This window comes from Homo sapiens, chromosome 6 (genome assembly GCF_000001405.40).
Source record: "Homo sapiens chromosome 6, GRCh38.p14 Primary Assembly".
Taxonomy (NCBI): Eukaryota; Metazoa; Chordata; class Mammalia; order Primates; family Hominidae; genus Homo; species Homo sapiens.
Window position 1 is genome coordinate 50,091,827 of NC_000006.12, and position 15,401 is coordinate 50,107,227.

General features: G+C 33.9%; 1 long non-coding RNA gene across 1 annotated transcript; it reads left to right on the top strand.

Moving 5' to 3' along the window:
* The first annotated feature begins 1,781 nt into the window (after positions 1-1,781).
* Positions 1,782-7,457, top strand: LOC100505985 (uncharacterized). Its single transcript, NR_187616.1, has 2 exons — positions 1,782-2,005; positions 6,886-7,457. It is a non-coding gene; the product is annotated as an uncharacterized LOC100505985 (long non-coding RNA).
* The last annotated feature ends 7,944 nt before the right edge of the window (positions 7,458-15,401 follow it).

Here is a 15,401-nt window from a genome sequence, read left to right on the forward strand (position 1 = left end):
TTCCAATATTTGCTTTATTGCAGTGGTTTAGAACTCAACCCACAATATTTCCAAGATGTGCCTGTATTTGATTTATTGCATAACAAATTCGTCAGTTCCTGGTCTAACATATCACAGTCTACTTCTGGAGTTACTTGTGGTAATGTTTGAATTTTTAAAAAATATATGAAAAAATAATATAAGTCTTTAAAGACAAATAAAAATTAAACTAAAAGGCATAATAAAAAGTCTACCTATTTCAGTAAATTAGACAGTATCTGTTTTTGTTCATTTTCTATAATATAACTGGAAATCCTGTTTGGCAGCAATTCAAGTAAGTAGTGCTACCAGATACATTCCATTTTTCTAGGAGATATCTATTGTAACAATAAATTATTTTAATATGTCCCTACTGGTATAAGGGTATACCACGTATGTATGTATACCACTGTGTGTTATGACATACTATCTAATAATAATACTGTTAATAATAGTTATATCATTATTAACAAGTTGTCACTCTTAGTTTGACAAGAATTGTTCTGTCAGGGACAGATGGACAATATTATTCAGCTAACCAATTGCTCTTTCTTTTTGTACCATGTCTAAGACATATAGCATCCTGTGGAGGACTGGGCATTTCTAGTACAGCCAGATACAATTTAACTACCTTCTAGTAATCTGAGCATTGTGTCTCATTAAAAAATATTTCAAAAAATGAGCCACCTGTAGAATTTATAAAGGACGTTCCTTTAAAAAATGAATATACTTTAAACTGCTCACATAAATAGTTTCTAACACATATATCAGAATTAGCAAGTTAAGGCTATCCCTGTAATAGTCCACTTTTGACAAAATCACTTGTGAAATAAAAAAAAGAAAAAGAAAAAACTCTACTTGCTGAGTTCCTGCAAAAGATACTGTTTAACTTGTCAGATTGATTTTTTAATCAAAATTCAAAATAATGGAATAAAAATTTAACAGCTTAAAGGTCAAAGTTAGTTAATGCATATCTTCAAATTTGCAACTGATTTACTTATAAGTAAAAACATCCACAAAGTTTAATTGATTTTCCACCTCGTACACTGAGAAATAGTATTTTGTACCTCTTGAATAATTCACAAGTTTGAATCCTAAGGCATACATATATATGTGTGTGTGTGTATATATGTGTGTGTGTGTGTGTGTGTATATATTTATATATATGCTGTATTTATGCCTAATTATTCTGGCTACAAAGGTCAAAAGGACAAAGTGGCCACAAGTTATAATGGGTTGGAGAATTTGGATGGAATGTGGATCTAAATTACTGTGTTACGTTAACTTGTTGAAATCTTATTGCTAAAATTTTGCACTGCTAGGCAGTAAAACAGAAGAAAAAAAAATAAATTGAGAAAGTGTTAATTTTTAAGCAAGTTTGACAAAGATTGAGTTTCATATGACAAATATTGTCAGCAAGACAGGATTCTGTCAGTGGAAGAAGTTTAAACATTAACAATTTCTGTCAGGCTGTTGACACAATCATGGCAGACATTTCCCAAGATGCCGAGATGACTGCTGGCATTTGTCAACAATCCTGTCATAGTGACAGCAATAAGGCCATGTCTGGAAATGTGACAGTTTTGGCTTTGTGCTCCCCTGAGCAATAGCCCAGGTGTTCAGAGAAAGTGTGGGAAAACCCATATTTCTGCATTGTCATTCGAACACAGAAAACACAGGAGGAAAATGAGCTGTCACTCCAATTCCCATGATGCCTTGCTGCTTAGCATAACTCTACAGTGCGGCCCTGGGTCCACTGGTCCATATTCTGACAGATAATTAAGAAAGCAGCAGCTTTTTCTAGACGGCTCTTCCTCATGATTTGCATTTTAGCCAGAGGCGACCAGTTATAAAAAAAACATGATGGAAAGATGGTAAGAAGCCAATTAGATGGATGGATGGCTGACTGACAGCTCTCTGGTATTACGACTCCAGATTTCAGACTACATAGCCTGGCAGTTTTCTACAAGAACCAACTTTTTTGCAGGTTGGTAAAGCTGTTAAATGTGGGACTATATATAGCTCTATATAATTTTTGCAAAGTTGTACATTTTCCTTAAATAAGCATGTATTCTTTTCAATCAGGGTTTGCATTAAACAAGTTTCAACAATTTAATCACAACTTGCATCACTAAATTTAGCAATATTAAAATTCTAGACAACTTGTAGGCACATTAGCTGTGCCAGTAGAGAAGTGATTAAAAAGCTGAGAAGTACTTTGAGCCAGCAGAGATAAAGTGAGCTAATAATTACAATGTCTGTGCAAATATGCTTTGGAACTTTGAATTGTACATTGTTTGCTTTTAAGCAAATAAAAACATAGACCCTAAATTTCCTCTCCGTCTTTAGATCTTGCACACATATATTTGGTTATTATCCCTGTTCAGGGTATAATATATGCTTGTGTGTCTGTTATTTTAGCTAATTTTGAAATTTTTAAAAAATAAACTGTTAGTGTCAAGCTTCCAGTTTGGCCATGATATTCTATAGCTTCTAGCCAATAGGAGTCAACTCTTCACAATATTTTACAGTTTGGAAGCTTCACCAATGTTTCCTGTGTACTGCATGCCGTGTGTGTGTGTGTTGTGTGTGTGTGTGTATATATATATATATATACTTGTCATATATATATTAATATATATTATATATCAGATACACACATATTAATATATATATCAGACACACACAACACACACATTGTTAAAAGCAAACAATTTGCTATTAGTTCGGCATGTCTTCATTTGTAGTTTGAAATAAGAAATTTTTCTTTCAAATTGTAAAGATACCTCAGATTTGATTTTAATCTTGAAATATGAAGGGTAGGCAATTATTTCACTATACATTGAAGTTCCAGTAAGGAATATTAACCCAAGGCAGAAACGTGAGCATATTTTCTTACTGTGGGTAATGAATCTTCTACAAACTGAGGATAATCATTAAACTAATGGTAGGTCTGAATGTTTTTAGTTGCTTAAAACTAAACAATATACATTTTAAAGTTCCATGTATATCGCTCAAACTACACTGATATAAAAATCCACAACACACATAAAGAATGAGTGAGAACCATTTCTCTTTGTTTTCTTTTTAAACTGTACTAATATTTGTCATTTTGCCCTGTTGAAATTAGATATGCTCAGTATACTAATAACAATTCTAAAAAAATTCTAACTGCACATACTTAAAAAGTTTAAACAATTACTCCTTTAAACAAGTTCAAAGAAGTAATTTTTCTCCCATAGACATAATATAATGCAAGTAGAAATAGAAATCATCCTGAAGATTTTTTAAATTATTTTTAAGGAAATTCGTTTTTTTCAATACCCAAAGCCCTTATACAATTAAAATACTTTTACTATTTAATATTTTACTTCTTTCCTCATTTTCTATTTTAAGGGGAGAAATGCTGAATATAAAGTGTCCCAGTAAAGAAATTCTTTAAATAAGGAAAGTTAAAAAGCTTTGAAACATGTGCCTCTATGGTTGGATATTTATGCTTGGAGTCTAGCAGTTTTCTGTTTTTAAATTCCTCATGTCTTCTGCTTTCATCAACTCCTCATACTTTGTATTGAAATTTATTTCACTGTTGGATTATCTTATTTATTGCACAATGGCAATACATTATATCTTCACAAGGTCTTGAGGAAGTTGTGGGTTTTCAGAAAAAAATAATTAGAATTGAAATTTGAGGAATTGTGTATTGTATACAGATTTTAAAATAACAACTCCTTGTAAATTTTGTTTTGTTTCAAACTATGCATTAAGAGACAATTTTCGTTTAAGGGACAATCTGAAGAGCAATATTTATTGAATTGAAATGAGTTCTGAAAATGCTCATTTTGAAAGTATCACTATATCACTGTAGGTTAAAGAGACATGTTTCTAAATAAAAAACAAAGTGTGTCATCATCAAAACAAAACTACATCTCACCACAAAACTTATGAGGTTGTGCCTGGAAAATGTAGTAAAATTCATTGGAGCCTATTTCTACCATCATTTTCATATTAAACTTTGCAATTTGAGTGACTGGAATTTGAACTTAAACAGTGAAGGGAAGCATAAAGGCAAGTTTCCTACAAATTGTTTTTCTTCAGTATATCTATATTTCTAACGGAATATTTGGTTAAAGATTTCCTTTCCTAGTTTCAAAAGAGAATTATTTTTAAGACACATTATGAAAATGGCTAATATTCTCTTCAGTGCATTTTATACTGCAAATTAAAAACTTAAGTAAAAAACATTTAAGATGTGAATGTTAAAAAATGAAGGAAAAGTTCATTTTCCTGAGGTTTTTTTTTCTAGATAGTTTATAGAAATATAGCTTCATTTTATAATCTTATAAAAATCAAATTCTTCGTTCAATATTTATAGGCACTTTCCATAAGTAATGTAACAATTGACCTCAAACATCTTTTAATAACTTTTAAACCATGTCATCAAAGAATAATATTGTTTATGGAACATTTAAAAATCATGTCATTAAGGAATAATGTTGTTTATGTTGAATTGCTCTTTAGCACCTCATACACTTTTCTAACTTTGTAAACACCCAAATGACCCTGCAAACCACCAGTCATAACACACTGGTGAAATATTTGCCTCCTTTACTTATTGGATATAGAGCAGTTTCCAGGAGCCAAGGGATTACATAAAATCTGCTCACTTTGCTGACTTGGAATGAAGTCTGGCAGTTCATTTACATGTTATTTTGAGAGAGAGAAAAAAAGAGCAGAGAGTATTCAAGGGACAGAGACACTGAGAGAAAAAAAATCAGCAACATTTCTTTGTTATACTATGTTCATAAATTGTGCAGAATTTCATTTAAATGAATGGTTTGAATTATGTAAGAAATTCAACCAATAACAAGGCATAGATACAGAAACCACAAGCTTCCTAAAGGCTGCAAATGTGTATTGATCCCAATAGTCAAACAAGTCTTTCTCTCTTTCTCCCTACCCTCTGAGAGTCACTCTTATATTTCATTTTAAGCACATTACTGCCTGTCTTGTGTAACAGCTATCTGTAAGCTTTTTAAAGGCAGGGGCTGAAGATGACTTGTCTTTTTTTTTTTTTTTTTTTTTTTTTTTTTTTGCTGTGCTAACAATATCAACTTATAGTAGAGTCTCAAAATTGATTGAATTTAATGTAGACTTTCACCTGGCTTTGCAGCCGTTGGTTCTCATACCTGAGGCAGGTTAACAACCCAATTGACTAGTTAGTTCCGTGGGCCCAAGTTGTGACTCAGCCAGCCAGTTTTGCTATATTTCTCAAGCACAAGCAGAGCAAAGTTGAAGCACAGGCCTTGGTTGCCAGATTGGATGAGCAATGATGCTCAAGATTGAAGGAGCAATCCATGTTCTAGTCATCATCATCACATCATTCGATCACTGTAATCTATCATCTGTCTAAGGCTGACCATTGTTAAGCATCTATGCTATAGAGAATAGTTCTTATACGTATGACTTGTTTACTAGTTAATTGGTTAGTTTCAAGGCAATAGTGACTTCCATAAGGAAAACTATCCTGTATCTGTAGATAAACACGGTAGAATATTGGTGATTTCTTACCCTTTAACCCAATTTTATTGAGTTGATCCTTCAAACATCCTTGAGAAGTAAATATTTTAATCCTCATTTTGCGTATTTCATATACAAGGAGTTACATGACTTTCTCTAGGTCTGATATCTAGTGTGTGGCAAAATAAAATTTGAGCTGAAAGCTTTCTGATTTTCAAACTTCTCCTCCTTTCATTGTGCCTGACTTTCTTAAAAATAATTAATATCATAATTGTTAGCATAAAAATAGGTTCCAGTTTTATTGTATGCATTTCTGGAGAAAAAAACTTATGAATAAGAAATTAGTAGTGTTGTGTACCTTTGTACATGAGTAGCAACTTTATTTATTTTAATTATGTTATTCTCATGTTCTCAATACAAAACAAAAATTTTCTTATCATCTGCAGAGTTTTGACTTGCTAAATAGGTAAAAATATTTGGACACTAATCTTGTTTATAAATTTAATTTAGGGAGGTAGAAGAATAAAAGTAAGAGAATAAAATCATAAAGTCTGTACCTTTCTGGATCTCAGAATCTGTTAGAAAAAAACACAAATAATTCTAATACAATACTTGATACACACATTATAATGTCTTTGTGCTCAGTCTTGTTAAGTGATTACACTGACCAGGATAGGAAAGAGAACACTTCAGTTAAGAAGAACAGCATGAGCCTGAAATATGAGTGAGAGTGCCAAATTATCGCAAGCATCTAGAGCATAGGGTGAATGCTATGAGGGAGGCTTGTCGGGGGATGACTATGTTGAGAAATAATCCTGGAAAATCAGGCTGGGACAAAATAAAGGAGTCGCTTTCTTACCAGACTAAGAAGCTTACACTTACTTCTAACGGAAATTCATCTCCGAGTCTCACTAAGATGTGATCAGATTTGTGAATTGGGATAATTTTAAAAGCAAAATGGAGCAGGGATGGAAAGTAAAAAGTTTGGTGACAGAGAGACCAGTGTGGGGACTGCTTCAGTGACAGGAATGATGAGTAACTGAGCTAAGACTGTGACAGTGAAGTATAGAGATGAAGGTTTTATTACCGGCCAGCCCCAGTTGGTAGCATATCAAAAACACCTCAATTCTTTGCAATTTCCTGTAGTTTTCTAACACTGATAACAGCTTTACTTTCATTAGATTTAGGCCGTAAATCTGCTGGTAATTGCCCAATTTGATTGTTAAGCATAGTTCTCTGTCACCAGTGAAGAGCTGGAGCAGAAGTAGAAAATGTTCAAGTATTTTCTTCTTCTAGGGAAACAGTTCATTATATTAATATTAATTTTTTCTATGTTTATTTTTTCAACAGAAGGTCATACATATGCTATTGGAGAGTTCACAGCTAGCCCCTCACTACTCAAATTGTGGGTGTTATTGCCAGACTGCGGAGATGCACAAGAATTGACTTGAGAAGCAAGGAGATTATTCATGCTCCTGCACACTCTGTTATCTCTGGGAGCTCTTAATCAATGCAGGGTGAGAGCCAGTTAGCATGACTGAGGTTAGGGTAAACGGGCTGTTCAGGGAAAGATAAATTAAAATGTGATTATTATTCAAATTGGAATATAGAGAACATAATCCATGATGGAAGAGAAGGAGAATAATAGAAATAAATAAAAATTTACCTACTGAATCACTTGCTCTATTGAATCTAGTCCTTGAAATTCCAAAGACATTATAATATGCTATGACTAAAGGGAATGATTTGGGAGATTTATACTCTATCTTTATTGGCTCCTGCAGATATGCTGAAATACAAATTCTCACATGCTGGAAATGTCTACTAAATGTACCTTGATATACAAATTAAATTCTCCTATAGAAAACTGTACTGTACTCAAAAACCTATATACAAATAAAAAGACTAAATTCTAAATAACAGTTGATGGTTCCGTGATTATGAAGAAATTCTAGTCATAAACACCAGAATTTAGGTTACAACTTTGGAGCTCATTAGGTCTTTAATAATGTAATTTACCGAAAAGATTTTGAAAATACTTTGTTAATATTTAAAAGCATGATTTCCTTATTTAATAATAATTTATTCTACAGCTAATTTGAAAAAGTGTTAGTCATAAATGTGTTTACTTTGTCTTGTTCTTGAAGATATTGCTGCTAATGTAAAAGACCAGTGATTTAAATTCATGTATGTCTTAGTTGCATGAACCATTTTACTTTATTTTTCTTAGATTGTGCCTATAAACTTCTATATCTTGGTGAGCTTCTCTTTTTCCTAAAAATGTTACCTACCATGTGTTTTTATTCCATATTTTCATCATATAGTTTGACCTTTTCCTTCACAATCTAGTTTCTAGATAGTTATGTTCACTACTGAGATTTCAGCTGTCTCTGGCATATGGCCTTAATGTTAGATAACTTATAATCAGCAATTACTAGAACTGATAACAGACCATGGAAATTCAGATAAATCTTGGGGAATTATTTTTAAAAATACCTTGACATTCTCTCTCTGGATAGATGCATTCACATACATTGCTTTAGCTTCTTTTCACTTACAGATATCCGGGTCAGAGCAGATAAAATTCAAGCCGCCATGAACATGCTGTGCTTTGCTGTGCTTCAGGGGAGAACTTCCAAACCACCTTTATTCAGAACAGCAAAATACCTGTGGTTTAGGCTCATCAACCATTGTCTGTCTTTCTGCTCTTCTCTCTCTAGAGATAGTAGAGAAAGCTAGGCTGCCACATAAACACTTCAACTTCAGGGAAATTGGAAGCTATGAAGTACTTCAAGCATTACAAATTCACCCCTTCTGTCTTGTTTTTCTATCTCCCTTCTTTTTTCCCTCCTTTATTGTCATCTGTCTTCAAATTTAAATCTTGAAAATTAGGGAATATTTACATTGATAGAAGTCTTTGAAAATATCATTTTTATTATTAAGAAGCAAAATATAATTTTGTACCTTTCAGTCAATATGAAATGGCCAATTATGTTTAATTTTACAAACTGAATAAACCTTATATAAAAAATGTGAACTATGAAAGGAGCATGGCATTTATCATTCATTTTTTGCAATGCTTTAATTTAAAAGTAAAAGTATTGCTGTAAAATATGTGGTCTTTCAAAATGATGAATTAATTCACTTGACATTTTTGGTGTTGTTTGAAATTACTTTCAGGTGATGCTGTGATATTAACTACTACATGTTCTTTGATATATAACACAAGAGATCTTGAACTTATTTTCATGATACCTAGACAGACCCCTTTCTGTTCATGATGGCTAAAATATCAAGTTTTTTTCCCCACAGATCATTTAATTTTTTATATCATGAGTATATTACAATATTGCGGTATTCATCAAACTTGAATAAAATTTTTACCCATTAAAAAATAACTAATTCTCAAAGATGTTCAATTTTAACATGAATCATTTTATTTTAATTAAATATGTGTAAACATAAAATTGGTACAAATTCTTTATGATGGATACTATTATACAACTCTAAAAGCCAAATAAATTTATATGTTAAATGCAAGTGAATTTACAAATGAAAAAATAGAAACAAGAAAATTTATTTTATATGACTGAAGAAGTCACTTTTCTGCAAAACAATTGCTGCCAGCAATATGAATATAACACAGCTATCACACAAGATCATGCACTGAATCCTATGTGATAATGTAATTCTCCCACTACTTTCTTTCCATTTACATAAAAGCAACAATAACAACCAAAACTTCTAGTTCTTATCATGTGTCTTAATATTATTTCTCCTTCATTTGTTGTAAGAAATTATTTGCATATTAAATGCTTTCTGTTCTATGCTTTTCTCATTAGCCCAAGGTCATTGATAAAGTATTCTTTTTCTCTTTGTGACTGTAAGCACAAATGAAAATACGGATACTGAAATTGCATGGCACTAGCAAATCATGAAGGGGCCATTAAAATGATCAAAAATGTAAAGATTTTCTAGATTATCATTTTAAAACCTAAAACCTCCCAAAATATAAAATTTTGTTTAGATTTTTGATAGCTCCTGAGACACATTATTTGAACCTCAGAGACATGTTTACTCTTGAGAAACACTAGAGAGAGTTGACTGGTAGTAGGTTGATCATCATAAAATCATTCCTTTTCTAATGTCCATATTTTTTCTTCAAAATGTTTATGAGATAAGGCACAAAATAAGAAACTTAACCAAAATTTTAGTTTAAGAAGGACAATATTAAATGTTAAAATCCATGATTTTTGTAAATCTTCGTAATTCTGCTATACAGACTGAATTCTGTACTTTTAAGTTGACTTGAATGAAAAGTCAAAGACTTTTAAATAATTAAGTTATCTCATGCATTCAATTAGCACACTCAATAACAAAAAATTGCACTCAATAACAAAAGAGGCATTCATTGATAAATGCAAACTTTTGGGAAGCCCAGAATAAATATGAGTTAAACTGGATTTCCTAAACCTATTCTATTAATGTCTCAGCACAGGACCATAAGAATTCATCTTCTAAATGAGCACTGGACCACACCCACCTCCAACACAGGGTGGACTTCCTTTGAGTTAATGTTGTGATGCAGTTGGTAAAAGGATGAATGTGGGCTTAATTGGCTTTTCTAGATAGAGCACATTCCCAATCTGATCAGACAAGGTTCCTAGCTGTTACTGCTCAGGACCTTTGCATTGGCTTTTCCTTTTGTGTGGAATGCTCTTCTGCCAAATATCCAGTATCCCCTAAAATGTTGTTTTCTCAATTATCAGCTCCTAAGAAATGCTTCCCTGAATTTCCTATGTAAAATAACACTGCCTTTATTACTTCTCTTTATTTATCTATTAGAGTCTGAAGATACAACAATACAGTCTCAACCAACCTTGAAGAGTCTTTTGGGAAAACAACTTCTTAAATATATAAAGTCAGTATACAAGCAGTACTCATATGAGAAGATAAAGGCATCTTTAGGGTACTTTAGGAACTCAGAGCAAGAACCCATTGTGAAGGTTTGAAAAAGATTTTCTGAGAGAGATGGTGTTTGATCTGGATCATAAGGAATGGGTCATAGTCAAAGAACTAAAGTAAGAAGGGGTTTCAAGTCAGAATAAATACGAATGAATGAATGTATAGATTTGTAACACAGCCTGAGGAAATTACATTGATTGGAAAAGCACAAAATTAGAAGGTAAGAAAGTTGGGAAATTACATTTCTGGATAGGTTTGAAAATACACGTGTAGATATGTTCCCCTTTTTTGGCAGTTGTCCAAACCCATAGCCCTTGCAAAAGCGGCACTCATCAGGGACCATTTTAAATTATCATGTAACTTTCATCTTCCCAGAATTAGCTAGAAACAACTGATTGAATCAGGAGGCACCAAGGAGCTGTCTCATTAAATAATGATTGACCAATCAGATTCTCATTCACAGCAATTCAAACTGTAAGGTCTAGAAAGAGGTCAAAATTCATTTAGTGGCAGAGTTTGAATGTAGGTGATGGTAAACCAAAGCCATTTACAAGCAGGCACCAAGGAGGGAATAACTTATGAGTCATAAAGGAGAATGGCAAGCAGTCATAAGAAGACAGAAGAAAAATAAGACAAGGCAGAGGGAGGCAAATGGGAAGAAAGATATCAGTTTCCAATTTTCAATTTCTCACATCCAGTCTCTTTAGTTCTAGCTAATCTTTGCTTCTTGACCACAGATACTCTTTAGATTATAAGTTACCTTTTTCAAAGGGTATTTAATAAATGGCACTCCTTCTGTCACAGTTTTTATTGGATCCAAAGATGGTAGGTACCAACCAGTGCCACAATCCAAAGCTGGGGAGAGACTGGACTTTCAAAGAGGTATTCAAAATCTGATTTTAGTCCTTAGCACCTCACATACGTGAGTGTGTTGAAGTTGAAGAGAGGAATTTTTTTGAGAAAGGGAGAGGATTATCAACGTATTGGAAGGTCTTTCTCTCCATGGAATAAGCATGGGACATGCCTCCTCCTCAACTAAAGTTTAGTGGAGTTTCAAATACCTTACCAGAAGAGCTTGATTTGTGTCCTCTTCGCCTGATGAACACAACCACCTGGTGTAAGAGTCATGTCTAAAAATTCTACAAATGAAAGTTGTGAATGGAGCTGCCTTTGGTTGGTGAATAAAGAGGCCTCAAATGTCAAGTAGCTGTTCTTTCACCCAATGTTGGTCCAGAGTACATGTCTGTTGGGGCCTATTTTGGAAACTGTACTAAGGTGTAGGTCTCAGGCGTAGATGTAGCACCATTGAAGAGAGATCATTCAGCACCTGAGGTGGTGCTGAAGTCCCAACAGAAAGAGGGTGAGTGATGAAAATTCTCAGGACCTAAAGGAGGACCCACATGCAGGTGAAGAGAGTCCTTACCAGTTGTCAGAAGGTTATTATGCATAAGTCTCTGTGGAGTTATAAGGCAATTAGGAGATAGGTGATCAATTTTAAATAATTGCAATAGTCAGAACAAAGAAATGAGACATGACATCTGGGTCAGCTGAGTAAGATTTTTTTCTGTTTCTTATCCCTTCTCTCTTTCCAGCTCAAACCCTGGAGGGGTCAGAGGACTAACTGGGGCCAACAGCCATTAGCGAGGTACCAAGAAGCACAAGCAAAGAAAGAAGGTAGATAACTCATCTATCTTCAACATGGTCCCCAGAATGAAAGAAGTTCAAAGTTTTGGCTTTTACTCAGGATTAGGTTTTTCAGTTACTAAAATGAAGCTGTTATTGGGACTAAAAATTAACATTTGTTTTCTGCAACAGCAAAAGAGCTATAGATAGTAGTTAAAATTGTCTGAGATTCTTTGGTCAGGTTCCTAGAAGCAGAGCTTAAGACAAGGTTCTTGTTTAAGTGATTTTTGATGATATCTCTCAGAAGAAAGTGATTGGCGAAAATGGAATGGGGAAGCAAAAAGCTAAGCAGAGAATGATCTCTGCTGGAGAGCAAATTCAGTCTTCAGTCTGGTTCCACAGAGAAATTCTGGAGCAAATCACAGCATAGCATTGGACCCACCTCCACCCACTGGTTGAATCCTATGGGGAGGTGGGCAGGGTGGGGGTGGGAGGTTTGCCATGCATGGCATGCCGGGGTTAAGTGGCAGGTCTGTACGGGCACTGACAGAACCCATTATATGGGAATAGTGATGAGGAAGAATTTGTCTCACAGAATAAATTTGAACATGGAAAAAAGTAAAACTGTATTCTGATCGAAGCTAACGAGCCTCATCCATGCAGTAACCATTTCAGTCACAATTACTTATCCTTAATTTACCTAATGTTGTAAGTTTCTATTCTTTAAAATCAAAGAAGATTGTCTGGACCAAAATTGGAATATTACATAAGGATCATTCTATCTCCAGCAAATGGGTCTAGGGAAATCAGAAGATATTCTGTGCATATTGGTGCCACAAGTAAAAAGATGAATATAGATTAGAGTCACCTCCTATTGTCAAGCTCACTGTTTCTATAATCATAGTAATGAACTTGATATCTCAAAACTGATTTTTTTAATTAGGAGAAGGACTAATCTAAGATTCATATGTTTGCCTTACAGATTTCATATTTGTAAGCAATGAAAGAAGCAAAATATTTCAGAGATTATGATATGCTATCCTTCCACATCAAATTCACATTCCACAAATTTCAAGTTCCTGTGAACATTGAATGATAGGATTCAATTGAGCCACTCTCTTGGGTAAAACCCCTATCTTCTAAAATTCACTCAGAGAGGTCATATTCTGGCTTAAATTTCAAAACATGTGGCATTTGCTATTTTTCCCTAGTCTAGAAAAGAGAGCTCCTCGAGGTTAACAAATATTTATAAAGTGTTTTATCTGTTAAGATATTCTGCCTTAAACTAGGTACTGGGCTCCCCTGATAGAGACTTGTCATGATGTCCAGTGCCCCAACAGAAACATGTTTGTTTGTTTGTTTGTTTGTTTGTTTCATTTTACCATGAAAAGCCAGGCTACTCACAATTCCCAAGCCACAATAATGTGTTATGAGAAGATAAATGAGAGTGATGAGAGACCCTGTATTTCGTCTTGGTTGCTAACACTATTGCAGGTGCTTTGTTGAACAAAGCTCTTAAGACAAAGCCATAGCACCAGTAGCAAGCACAAGAGTCTGATACAAAGGTCAGGAATGGTCTGACTGTGGAACACAGGCCAGAGAGTGATTATTTTAGGCAGGAGGGCTCCTGCTACAGTTTCTTTTCACACTTTTATGCAAACACTGGTGAGGGTACCAGAGCTTACATAGACAGTCTGAGTTTGAGATAAAAGTCATCCTGTTAAGAATATTTGGGCTCCAGCCTGGATCACAGAGAGTCCTCAGAGTGGCAAAAGAGGATCACACACAAATCTTAATTGGATGACCCGACTGAAGAAGAAGAAATCCAGAGTTCTAAGAGCTCAGAGAAATAAGAAGGAAAAAGACCAAGGAGGCATTGAAATATGAAGGTAAAATCAATACAGAATTGCCTAGGAAATCAATAAGAAGGATAAAGGACATGCAGAGGATGTGAAATATGTGTTCTGTCTCCTGTACAAGTGAGAAATCAGGCAGCATGTTTTGAACATGCTGCAATCCTGTAATTAAAGCTCAAGGGAGAACTGCAAAAGGGAATCTTAATAATCAAGTGAAAAGATGTCCTGGTAATAAGTGACTCCTTGTCAGGAAAACAGTTTCATAGGCAAATCTGAAGTTAAGTATGAAGTCATGTACATAATCAGAAAATAGATTGATAATTGTGTCAGTGTGTTTATGGTAGAGACTGGAGTTTCATTTTAGAACCGTAACTGAGTAGCAGCATCCATCTTTCAACAGGCCAAAGTTACTAGTTCATACCATTACTACAATCCTGATAATCACAGCCTTGTCTCAAGGTATGCTTCAAAGTAACAGATTATCCCCTCTCAAATGCCCAGGTTTTCTGTCAAAGGACAGAAAGTCCCCAAGAATCAGTCTCATAGTTAGATGCATTTATGAAAAGCTAAAGATAGGTGTTTATACTTTCACATAGCAGATACGAATAAAGCAATTAGAAGAAAAGCTTGGAAAAACCCTCAAAAAACAAACAAAATATCTTGGTGCTATGGAAGGAAAATACATATGATAATTCAAAATAGTAATACCAAGAATCATGTTTGATCATGTGAGAAGAATATTGGGAGACCATTTGCTTAAGAAATGTTATAGTATTTTTATTATTCTTTCCTCACCTAAGCAGAGGTGAAGTATTTTACAAGTCCAAGGGAGATCATACATACCATAATCTTTGTGAAAGTCATTTTATCTCAAATTGTTCCCAGAGGTTTGTTTCACAAAGCCTACAATATAAGAAAGGTTCCATTCCAGGATTTGTTCAATATGTACACTTAATTATAATTAAGTTGTTTTGAACATAGGACTATGAAAAATATAACAAGTTTTCTCATTTTTAAAAATAAAACAATCAGAACTTGTAGATTGAAATGATACTTCTCTCCTTCAGAGGTCTTTCAAAGGCAATTCATAATTTTTTAAAAAATGCTACTGCTATTCCTGTTATTTTTGCATATCCTCAAATTGCCAGTATTTTCCAAAGGGGATATTTTTAAAGCTGATGACAAGCAAGAATTATCTGAGCAAAATTTTTATGTGTTGTAGATTCTAGAAAATGGCAGCAGAGGCATAACCTATGTAACTCAACCAATTCTCATGTAAAAACAGAGAACTAATTAACAAAGTCCAAAACACACAACAGGATTTACAACAAAACAAAGGTAACAAAATATCTCCAAATGTGCCAAAGACACAAGTGCAGAGGAGAGAAAGTATGAGCAGCCACAAGACTTTTATGATATCAG